General features: G+C 37.6%; 1 long non-coding RNA gene across 1 annotated transcript in view, besides 1 other annotated feature; it reads left to right on the forward strand.

Moving 5' to 3' along the window:
- Nucleotides 1–13053, forward strand: part of LOC105373153 (uncharacterized) — a 350749-nt gene that overhangs the window by 234325 nt on the left and 103371 nt on the right. The gene's annotated exons all lie outside the window — the stretch shown is intronic.
- Nucleotides 8286–8785: an enhancer, noted in NCBI's record as "H3K4me1 hESC enhancer chrX:33987093-33987592 (GRCh37/hg19 assembly coordinates)". NCBI's record gives its function as "activates a minimal SCP1, AML or CMV promoter by ChIP-STARR-seq in naive H9 embryonic stem cells {active_cell/tissue: H9 hESC(naive)}" and the evidence as "EXISTENCE:reporter gene assay evidence [ECO:0000049][PMID:30033119]".

Here is a 13053-nt window from a genome sequence, read left to right on the forward strand (position 1 = left end):
TAGTATTGGTTTAGCCTCTATATGAAGCTGAAGTCTTTCCAATTCCCAGTTTGTCTTTTCAAACTTAAAGCAGTCTATGTTACATATATTCATAGACTGAGGAGTCATGATGTGGTTGAGTGACCTCTTAACATAGTCCTCAGCCTGATTTTATATGAACCTTAGACTGTTCATAGCTGTTAATAAGTGACCTCTAGAGATAAACATCTTTAGGAAATAAACATCCCCAAGATATAGACACCTTTAAGACCTAAGATAAAATCCCAGGTCAGTGATTTGGTTTGGCTGTGTCTCCACCCAAATCTCATCTTGAATTTTAGCTCCCATAATTCCTATGTGTCATGTGAAAGACTGGGATGGAGGTAATTGAATAATGGCGGCGGGTCTTGCCTTTGCTATTCTCATGATAGTAAGTCTCATGAGATCTGATGGTTTTATAAAGGAGAGTTCCCCTGCCCACGCTCTCTTACCTGCTGCCATAAAAGATATGACTTTGCTCCTCATTCACCTTCAGCCATGACTGTGAGGCCTCTTCAGCCATGTGGAACTGTGAGTCAATTAAACCTCTTTCCTTTATAAATAATGTAGCCTCAGGTATGTCTTTATTAGCAGCGTGAGAACAGACTAATACAGTCAGCTTCAGTTCAGTCAAGAGCTTTATAAAGGAATCCGCAATTCTGAATGAAAACCCTTGTGTCAAATAAAGAACTTCGGTATTTTCTGGTATTTTCCAGATACTACTATTGTTGCACCCCCTCTCCTCTACCCCTGAAGAATTCTCTTATTTACTCTGAATGTTAGCTTTCCTGGACTTTGTGACTTGCTGGGAAGGATTTCCCTTGGAAGATCCTGTCCCCCATTTTCAGTATATGTCTCTCTTCACTTGCTCAAGTGAGGAGAGACATGGGCTTTTTAAATTTAACTGTTATTTTAACTTCTTTATACCTACCCATTACTAAATTTGTCAGTGTTCTAAAAAACAATTAAAAATAAAGCTTCAGGAAATCAATAATGCACTTCAGTTAGTAAGGACAATTCTGTGTCAAATGCCTTATTGTGTTTTGTTGGTAATAGTAAGTTTAAATAATTATTTAAACAAGGTCAAAGAATGATAAATCTATCTGTTCACAACTGTAAATATTTATTCAATTGCTGAGATTTATCTTGTGTCAGGGTTAAAAAGCAAGACTGCTCTTCTAATAGCCTACTATTATTTTAACGTATACATTTAGCTTGTTGCTAAAGAAAATAGGCTAAAGGATTTTTATTTATTTATTTATTATACTGCTATTCGACAACTCTAATGGATGCTTCAAGGGAACACTGAATTCCTGCATAAAATTTTGTAGCATATTTTATGAGTTGACACATTGTTTCGAGTAGTAAGCTCAATGTTGCGTGAAAGGCATTGTATGTGTGAGTTCTTTGTGAACTGGAAAGCCATAAAAATCAGTTTATTCCTTTTTTTTTTAACAAGTGTTTCTGAAAGAAAATACTAATGTTACATTTGGATAATTTAAACAAAAGTGAAGTTTGCTTTAACGATAGCATCAGCCTTCAAGAAAAAAGACTTATTCACAGATATAATATCTTTGTCAGCTTTATTGATCTTAACTAACAATAACAAAGATAATGGAAGGTTTTTTAGAGTATGAAAAATAAACATATCGGGGCTGATTTATTTTTTAAATAACTTAAAAAAATATTGCTTCTGTCATATCATCTGTTCCAATAACATTTCTAGTTGACATTTATATTGGAAGTAAATTTTAACCTGTAAAATGTCTCTGAAATCCATTCAGAAATAAAATAATACTATCTACATTTATTTGGCTATTGAATTTTTGTTGCCATTATAGTGTGATTCCTTAGAACAATGCTATGCAAAACACTTTCAGTTTCTTCAAGGCACGTAGTGCTACACAGTAGGAGGGCTAAAACAATTTATGAACTTGAAAAGTCAAAACACTGAATTAGAAAAACAATGAAGAAAAAGAAAAAGCAAATTAAGGACACAAAGCAACAATCACACCATGAGCTTTTAGAGTAGGGTACGCAATAACATACAGCTTTTGGTTTTTGAAAGACAGTGATAAAATAGAGGGTATATAATTAAATCCTAAATCAGGAAAAAACAAGGCATTTTCTGTTTATTTGGGATTGTCTTTTCCTTTTATGTTTTGAGTCACATTTCAATACCTTATCAAACAGCAGTATAAACAGTCTGAATTATATAGTGAGCAATACCTAATTGAAAATGCGATTTTATCCATGTTAATAGGATAACATATAAATTAAATTCAGGAAATTATTGGGTCTGTTACCCACAAAATATGGAAACACAGGATCATAATCATGTAATTTAAGGTCATAAAAGGCATCTGGTCTCAATCTTCAGCATATAAAGTTATTTAATTTGTTCATTGAAGACTTGCATTCCTTATTTTGAAAATATCTCATTTTTTCATAATTAAAGATAAATAATCCTTCTTATACAAAAAAATCAATGTTTAAAAGAAATGTAAAAGCCATGTGTTCTTTCTAACTAAAAGTTATTTAGAATATTTTCAAAACAGATCACTTACGAAATTTTATTTTTAAGTAAATAGTATTTTTCTCACTTATAAGTGGGAGCTAAACTACAAGGATGCAAAGCTATAAAATGATATAATGGATTTTGGGGACTAGGGAAGAAGAGGTTGAAGGATAAAAGACTATCTTTTGTGTACAGTGTACACTGTTCCGGTGACAGGTGCACCAAAATCTCAAAAGTCACCACTAAGGAACTTATCCATGTAACTGAAAACCACCTGTATCCCCAAAACTATTGAAATAAAAATAAAAATTAAAGAAAAAGAATAAATAGAAGATTTTGCAAGGCAATAATTTTAAGATCTTTAAGTGTAAAATTTTGATATATTTGTCTTAAAAAATTCTCTAACAAGCAAACCACAAATATCTACTATTCTAGAAAGGTTTTCTGTTTAAGCTGGGGTTTTTTTGTAATTACAAACTTTACATTTTGATGTTGAATAAAAATAAATACTTCTATTTCATTCAGCAAGCGATTATTAGTCCACATGAGAAATATAATGTCTTATAATTAATTAAGAGTAGCTTTTAAAAAAGATTTTAAAATGTTTTTAAGGAAGTAAATTAATAACAGTACCAGGCCATTTAAATAAAAATAAAAATTAAATAAAAAGAATAAATAGTAAGCTTTGCATTTTAAGATCGACTGTAATGACATTCAACTTGCCATTTTAATTTTATACTTCTTAATCTTTTTATTTTATGATAATTTTTAACTTACAGAAACTTGCAAGAATAGAGCAAATCATTTTTTTTTCTTTCCAACTTTCATTTTAGGTTCGGGGGTACATGTGCATGTTTGTTACATGGGTAAATGGCATGTCCTAGGATTTGGTGTACAGATTATTTCATCACCCAGGTAGTGAACATAGTTTGTTACATGGGTAAATTGCATGTCCCGGGGATTTGGTGTACAGATTATTTCATCACCCAGGTAATGAGCATAGTTTGTTGCCTAGGTAAATTGCATGTCCTGGGGATTTGGGGTACAGATTATTTCATCACCCAGGTAATGAGCATAGTACTCCACTGGTAGTTTTCCAATTCTCACCCTCCTCCCACTCTTCACCCTCATGTAGGTCCCAGTGTCTATTGTTTCCTTCTTTGTGTCCATGTGTACTCAATATATAGCTCCCACTTACAAGTGAGAACATGTGCTATTTGGTTTTCTGCTCTTGCATTAATTTACTTAGGATAATGGCCTCCAGCTGCATCCATGTTTCTACAAAGGACATGATTTTATTCTTTTCTATGGCTGCACAGTGTTTCATGGTGTATATGTACAACACTGTCTTATTTTCCCCCATTTAAAATTCCCTTGTTTTTAACTTTTATTTTAAGTTCAAGAGTACATGTCCAGGTTTGTTACCTAGGTATACTTGTGTTGTGGGGGTGTGTTGTACAGATTATTTCATCACCCAGGTATTAAGCCTAGTACCCATTAGTTATTTTTCCTGACCTTTGTGCTCCTTCCACGCTCCAGCCTCCAATAGACCTCAGCCTGTGTTGTTTCCCTCTACGTGTTCTCGTCATTTAGCTCCCACTTACAAGTGAGAATATGCATGTGGTATTTGGTTTTCTGTTCCTGTGTTAGTTTGCTAAGGATAGTGGCCTCCAGCTCCATTTATGTTCTTACAAAGGACATAACCTCTTTCTTTATTTTCTTTATCCAGTACACCATTGATGAACATTTAGGTTGATTTCATGTCTTTGCTATTGTGAATAGTCCTGTAATGAACCTCCGTGTGCATGTGTCTTTAACGTAGAATGACTTATTTTCCTTTGGGTATATATTCAGTAATAGGATTGCTGGGTTGTTTTAAGTTCTTTGAGAAAGCTCCAAACCACTTTGCACAGGGGCTGAACTAATTTACATTCCCACCAGCAGTGGATAAGTGTTCCTTTTTCTCCTGTAACCTTCCCAGCATCTGTTATTTTTTTACATTTTAATAATAGTCATTCTGACTGCAACTTGCCATTTTAAATATAAACTCTTAAAGATCAATTAAAAATACGTTATTACTTTAAGAATATCTGAAACACCTAAAATTTCCAGTAACTGCTGCTGAGGGACAATGACCATTCAATGGCCATAGCATTGTGCAAGCATGTTTTTCAGGGACATCTGAATATAGACTCCAATAATTTTCTCACATAAGGATGTTTTCTTGTTGATGCTGAATTTTACTCAAGAACCAGAGAGCCCAGCATTTATTATTATCAGCATATCTTCTGCATTATTTATGTGAGTCCTTCCTGAATGGATATCTAAATGCTAAATATAAAAAGGCGATACAAAAACCATAATTGATCTTTCTAGATCTGGTGAGACACTATTTTGCACATTTGCATCACTGGAAACCAGGTTTCTTCTCTTAGGGCCCCTGGTAACCAAAAGAGACTATGCTAAATATCCTGCATCTGTGGCCATCTTCTTTCCAGTTTTAAGTTTATAGAATAAGTATATATCTGTAGTTTTCATGCTAATTCACAGTATTTTTCTCCAGGTGTTGAGTGGATTATACTATAGGGTGACAGCACCCTCCCAATGCAACTTCTTCATGGTTTGAGTTGAAGCTCAGACTTAGTGAATTTATTGACAATGTGAGAAGTGACAGGTATAGTTTACTGGTGCATCAGGCTCTCCATCATTCCCTTATACTTGAGTTTTCTGCATCTGTAGGTCCTTCACCTCTTTATCTACACACTTAATTATACTGAGTAGCTTTCTGATTAAGATAGTAATATTAGTTCGTGATCCAAAACAATGAAAATTGGGAAGTAAAACTACATGGAAAGAAAACCAATAACTTGTAAAATGAATGCAGATAGAAAACAAGTTTTTAAATAAACAAAAAACGTACTAACAGAAACAATAGGATATATTAGCAATATGAGAGAATAAGAATTTATAATTAAAAGGCAAGTATTAATATGAAAATGATATAGTAAGTGATACCAGAGCCTAAACAAATGGTAGAATGTATAAAGCAAAAAGACTATTTTTCAATTTAAAAAACCAGGCTGAGAAATAGCCACAGAAGTAAAGATAGAAATATATATATATATATATATATATATATATATATATATATATATATATTTATGAAAGAAGAGTTTAAAACATATGGAAGATAGAAATTCCAAAATTCAAATAACAGAAATCCTGGAGAAATAAAAACAAAGAATGAAGAGTTAGAAATATTTGAAGAAACATGGGAGATATAGTTTATAAAATATAATTCAGAAATAAATGTATAGACATTAAAAAATAAACAATGTCTGATTGAAAAAAATTATCAAGTGCTATTAAATAAAATTTATGGGATACAGTTGATTTGGACTAGGCTTTTGCACTAAGCCTAAAAGGCCAAACCAATATAAAGTTAAACTACAGTAGCTGAGCTCTACTTAATTGCAGGAGGCTTTGTACCCAATTAAGCTGTAACTAATTAAGTTGTATTTACACCACACTTTCATTTCCTATAAATGCTGTCAGATCGTGTTATTGGTTGGAGTTCTCTGAACTTGCTTTGATTCAGAGGACTGCCCATTTAAGAATTGTTTATGTTTTGTTTGCTTTGATTTGCTCTGGTTTGTATTGTTTTCCTTTGCTCAAACTCAGTTAAAATTTAACCCTCATCTAAGGTATGTTTTCTGTTTACAAGTCCCAAAGAGTATTAAGAAAAATAAAACTTATTATTAAAACTTAGTGAATACAGAAGACAATGGAAAATGTGTAAAGATAATTCAATAAGAAAGAACAGAACTACTACAGAGCATTAGACTTCTTAACTAAAGCACTTTCCAGATGAAATGGAGGCATATTTTTGATGATTTGAAGGATAGGAAATTTGAAACTTAAATTTAATTTTTAATGAAATCGTCATTAAAATATGAGCACATAATTTAAATATTTTTAGGAATTAAAGACCACAGAAGATTTACCACATAAAACATAAAAGTCATAAGCAAAACCTTTTGAGTGAATTATTTAAATACAAAGAGGAAAATACCTCCAGGTAACTTATGAACTTATGTCAGTAAGTTTAAACAAATATCTTGACAAAATTGGCTATCTAAAAATGCATACATACATATGTAGGTACACACCTAAGAGAAAAGAAAAAAGAGAGAGTCTCCATAACAAATCAGCCTTAATATCTATAAAATATTCACATAGCACCAGTATGAAAGGTGAGTGAGTCCTAGGATACGGACATGAAAAGATAATAAAATTTGTGGTTTTTGAGGATGACATAGATCACTTTTAAGGTATGCTATTTAAAAGAGATGCAAATAAAAGCCAAGAGAATGAAAAATTTGTATATGGACAGAATAAAGATATAATGAGACAATACTAACCAAGAATGCTGGTGTAGGGATATAGATACAACAACTTTTACACGCAAAACTTGTCAGGAAAATAACACAATTCTGAATATATATTGTAGTAAATACTGAGTGTGCCAACGATCCTTCATCTTCAGTGCTGAAGCACTAAGCATCCTGTTAGAAATACTAGTAGCAAACAGCTTGCAGGTGAATTCACCTGATTATTGCCCTCAACTGAAGAGTGTTGACTTGTCTGAATCCACACCCACAACCAATGACTGGTCAATGCAAAAGCAGAAAAGCTTGAATTCCTTGTCTTAATTTGGGTATACTCTGCAGGGCCCATCCTAGCATCAGAGCTTCTTGTGGAATTGACTGAGGCCTTTGTTATGACCACATCACAGCTACTTGCTCCCTGCGCTAGTGATAATATTAAGAGTAATTCCTGAATGCAAATCTCCATCTCCGAGTCTCCTTCATATGGGACTTGAACTGCAACAGTTGGTGCCTGGGTTGCTACCAGAAAGCAGATGCTAACATGATACTTTGGAACTGATCACTTGTGACCCAGCAAGCAATAAAAACTCCATCACTGATGGTAGATGGAACCCTGAGGGCACATGACACATGGTGGTATGCCAATGGTTAAAACATTTACTTCTGGTGAATTAGAATGGTGTACCACAGAAGGGTATGCACTAGCTAGGGCAATGCATCAAGGATATGGTTAGTCTAGGGGCAATAATAGTCACAAGCATGATGGAAATAGGTGGCTGTTTCTGGGGCAATTGATTTTTCAAAAAGATACAATTGATGACAGCAATGGGCCGTCCAGGGCAGCTACTACCATGATGCTGACTGGAGCAGAGAGGTGCGAGAGATGATGGCAGAAGTGACTGCAGGAGCAAGGATGGTGTTATTAGGTGGTGGGATGTTCCCTGTGCCCTGCATCCCTGAGGCAGCTGACTGTGCCACCCCCACCCTCTCATGGCTGGACAGGACCCATTCCCAGGTCTGGAACCTCCACCATGGCCTCAACCTCACTCCCCACCACATCCTGGAGGCCTGCGAGCATCTGGCCAAAGGTGCAGCCAGGACTCGTGGGGCTGCCCCTGGAAGCATCAGGTTCATTTGTATGGGGTTGGCTGGGGCCACCAAGACACTTGCACCTCACCCACTGCCCTGGGAGCCGCAGCAATGGAGCTGAGCCAAGTCACCCACCAGCGGGGGAGCAGTGCAGTTGTTCACAAAAGGGCAGGCAGAGCAGGGCCCTGAGGTAGAGCTGGGCCTGAGAGGGTGCCATGCTCTGCAGAGCCAGTGGGAGCTGGGAGCAGGCAGGAGCCCTGCCCTCCTGGGCATGGCTGCAGCTGCCCAAGTTGCAACTGAGGACCCAGGCATCTCTGCACTCTTGGGGGCCCAGGAAGGTCCCTTCTTGCCCCTGTGGGTTTGGAGATGTCTGCTCCTGCTGCCTGGCCTCTCTCCACTGTCAGTGCCCACTCTGATCACAGAGCAAAGTTGAGGCCAAGCCTGGGTGCTGTTGCAACCTGGCCAGATGTGCACATCCTCAGGGCAGTGCTGATATGCCAGCCCCCTGCCATCTTGGCCCCCTCCAGACTTTGGGTACCAAGGAGCATGGGGGGGAGCCTAAGGAGGGGTTGAGGGCAGCTCAGCGCTGGCCTTCAGGTGCCCCTTGGCACAAACAGCCTGGGCATCACAGATGGCAGCACCCTGGGTGCAATGGGGTGGGTCCCTGGTGAAGCCCCACCTTCAAGCTGGGGAAAGCCTGAAGTCTGGGGGCTGTGCTTCTGGTCCCATGGACCAGAGGGGAAACTTGTGGTGCCTTTTCTGGGCCTACCCATGGCTGCCCATGGACCAGTTGGTGCACTCTTCTTCCCCTCTGAGGCCCATAAAAGTCCCAGACTCAGCCAGACTCGAGGAGATGATGGGACAACCAGCTGCAGAGAGGAACTACCCTCACTGGGATGACCTGTCCAACAGAGAGGAGCTATCCCCTCTGCTGAGAGCTGAGGAGACAATGGCCGACCAGCTTCAGAGAGGAACTACCATCTCTGCTGAGAGTTAGACACTCATTTGGATGATCTACCTAGCAGAGAGGTGCTACCCTCTCTGCTGAGAGCTGAATACTCATTGGGACACCCTGGCTATGGAGAGGAGCTGCCCACTGAGCGTCTCCTCTGAGCTGTTCTATTGCTCAATAAAGCTCCTCTTCTCGCTCACCCTCCACTTGTCTGTGTACCTCATTCTTCCTGGATTCAGGACAAGCACTTGGGACCTGCAGAATGGCAGGGCTAAAAGGGCTATAACACAAACAGGGCTAAAACATGCCCCTTGTCTGCCAGGTTGTGGGTGACAAGAAAAAGAGAAGAGAGAATGAGAGAAGAGCTGTGGCCCTTCAGGGAGCCCAGACCTATGAGCTCCCCAAACCAGGGCTGTGACACCTTCTTTAGGACTTTTCAGTTCCTGGTGTCTCCAAGCTTCTGGGTGCCACATTGTGATCCCCACCATCAGCTTTGGAAGCTGCTTATAGTATGCCTGGTCAGCCACAGCCTTGCAGGGAGCCAGCGCCCATGCCCATGCCTGGACCTGCCTGCCCTGCTGCGGCTGGCATGCCTGGCTGTGTGCAGTGCTTGGACCCCACACTTATTCACACACCCTTTGCCACTCTGTACCTGGCTTGCCCTTGTCAGGCATGGGATCCAGGCCAGCAGTGGGAGCTGAGTGCAGGCTGTGAGGCCGAGTGTGTGGAATGAGCCCAGTGGGCCAGAGCAGAAACTTGGGCAAAGGCTCTGCTGGCCACAGAGGTTTCTGGCTGGTGAAGCAACACCCTAAGGATCCTGTAACACAATGAAAGGTCAAGGGTAATTAATCACAATTAAAGTATAAGTGTGAAGGATAGAGTGAGAAATACCACTTAAGGAAAGTCTACTTTTTTTCTTTATGAAAAGATATTCCCTTTCTGATGCTTAGTTTTATCCAAGAACAGGGAGAGCACAAGGTTAATAAAAATGTCCTTAAACAGAAGTGTTTCAACTATTGGTGTAAGTTATTTCTGTCTGGTGATTCAAGATGTGAGTCAAAAGAGGAAATTTGATAGTAACAGTTGATCTTACCTTGCACAATACATGTCACCAGCATCTGTGTTCCTCTTGTTAGGGACTCTGGGGACCAAGATAAATTATGCAGAAAATTGATGCATCTAATTCTGCCCTAAGCTGTCACTTCACATCTGATAACAATTTGTACTTGAAGAAAATTATTTTGGAAAGTTAGCATAACCTTTTACTCTGTGCAAGTGTATAATTTTGCTATCAATCCATAATGTACCTGATACTCTGAGGCTAAAATTTTACATATTACTCATTGAAATGTTTACTCGGAACTTTGTGCATATTAAGTTAAATTTTATTTTTATACACCCATTTGCAATGAATTCAAGCAAACATTTATAATTACTTGTCTTGTAGAGATCCAAGTGTCCCTCTTTGCCAGCTGTTAACCTGAGGCCAGACTAATATAATTAGTTTTGTTAATTACTTCTAGTTCTTCAGGAATAATTGAGATTATTGCATCCTTACTTCACTCTAGAATTAAATTGATGGATTCTTCTCATGTGAGAACTTGTGACCTTTAAGTCCACCTACTCAAAATTTGTTCTGGAACTAATTAAATATATATATTTTTCAGTCTTCCTTATCTATAGAAAAACATAATAATCAAAATGCTCCAAAGCACGCTTAAATGAAAGATACTCAAGTATGTTACTCACAGTGAGGTCATTAGTTTTAAATATTTCTGTTTTTGTGTGTCTGTGGAGAAAGTTTCTCTCTAAGACACGTGCACATTGATTTATGAAATGCACAGATAGTGATAGATAGCCCTAAAATACTTAAGTTTTGTCAGTGTCTCTCAGTGTCAGTGCACATGTACTTATGTAAATAACTACAGTTTCAGTTTATATTTCAAATACTCTCTCAAGTCAGTAAGTGTATAATCAGCATTTAACCATAGCTTTGTTAGAATTTTTCCCTCATTATTCTTGGAATTGTATATAGAAGTATTTAATAACATTGACTTTGATATTAGATATAACTGAGTTTTCTTGTCTCTCCTACTTATTAGATGGATTTCTGTGGACTAGTTGCTTAATCTTGAATCCCCTTATTTTTCATTTAAATAATTGGGATGATGTATATCATTTTTAACTGACTAAAAAGGATAATCAATATAACTTGGTAATCTAAACATCAAAAACATCCAAGAAAATATAATAATTCAAAAACAATTATGAGTAGCCTTTATAGAAAATGAAACACTACAAAAATTGAAAGACGGCCACATGCGGTGGCTCACGCCTGTAATCCCAGCACTGTGGGAGGCCGAGGCAGGTGTATCACTTGAGGTCAGGAGTTCGAGACCAGCCTGGCCAACATGGTGAGACCCCGTCTCTACTAAAAATATCAAAATTAGCACTATAAACTTTTTTCTTAACACTGCATTTGTTGTGTTCCAGAAATTCTCGTATATTGTATCTTTGTTATCATTAGTTTCAAAAAATGTCTTGATTTCAATCTTAATTTCATTGTTTACCCCAAAGTCATTCAGGAACGGGTTGTTTAATTTCTATGTAATTTTATGGTTTTGAGCGATCTTATTAGTATTAATTTCTACTTTTATTGCACTACCATCTGAGCATGTGGTTTGTGTAATTTGGGGGTTTATTTTGACATTGTTGAGTTGTTTTTAGCTGATCATATGGTCAATTTTTGAGTATGTACCACATGCAGAGGAGAAGAATGTATATTCTGCTGTTGCTGGGTGAAGTGTTCTGTAAATGTTTTATATGTCTATTTGGTTTAGTGTCACATTCAGATCCTGAATATCTTTGTTTATTTTCTGTCTCAATTATCTGTCTACTATTGTCAGTGGGGTGTTGAAGTCTCCCACTATTATTATATGGTAATCTTAGTTTCTTCATTGGTCACTAATAATTTGTTTTATGAATCTGGGTGCCCCAGTGTTGGATGCATACATATTTAGGATAATTAATTCTTCTTGTTGATTTGAACTCTTTATTATTATGTAATGCTCTTGTCATTTTAGAATTATTGTTGCTTTAAAATCTTTTTTGTCTGAAATTAGAATAGCATCCTCTGCTCTGTTTATTTTCCATTTGTTTGTGATATTTTTCCCTATTTCCTTACTTTGAGACTAGGAATATCATTGCATGTGAGTTGGGTCTAAGACAGGATACATTTTGATCTTGCTTCTTTATCCAACTTGCCACTTTATGCATTTTAAGTGGGGCATTTAGCTCATTTACATTCAAGATTAATATTGATTTGTGTAGATTTGGTCATATCATTGTGCTATTAGCTGGTTGTTATGCAGATTTGACTGTGTATTTGTTTGCAGTGTCAGTAGTCTATGTCCTTAAGTGTATTTTTGTTGTGGCCAGTAGTGATCTTTAATTTCCATACTTAGCACTTCCCTGTGATTTCTTGTACAGCAAGTCTGGTGATAATTAATACCCTTGGCATTTGGTTGTCTGAAAAGAATGTCATTTCTCATTCACTTATGAAGCTTAATTTGCCTGGATACACAATTCTTCGTTGAAATATATCTTCTTTAAGAATGCTGAATATAGGCCCCTAATATCTTCTGGCTTGTAGGGTTTATGCTGAAAAGTCCATTCCTAGCCTGATGGGATTCCCTTTGTAGTCAACCCACCTCTTCTAAGTAGCTTTCTTTAATATTTTTTCTTTTGTGTCCACCTTGGAGAATCTGATGAAAATGTATCTTGGTGGCCAGGGGTGGTGGCTCATGCCTGTAATCCCAGCACTTTGGGAGGTTGAGGTGGGTGGATCACCTGAGGTCAGGAGTTCGAGACCAGCCTGACCAACATGGTGAAACACCGTTTCTACTAAAAATACAAAAATTAGCCAGGTGCTGTGGTGCCTGCCTGTAATCCCAGCTACTCTGGAGGCTGAAGCAAGAGAATCACTTGAACCTGGGAGGCAGAGGTTGCAGTGAGCTGAGATTGTGCCATTGCACTCCAGCTGCCTGGGCAAGAAGAGTGAAACTCCATCTCAAAAAAAAAAAAAAAAA

The sequence above is a fragment of the Homo sapiens genome, chromosome X (assembly GCF_000001405.40).
Source record: "Homo sapiens chromosome X, GRCh38.p14 Primary Assembly".
NCBI lineage: Eukaryota > Metazoa > Chordata > Mammalia > Primates > Hominidae > Homo > Homo sapiens.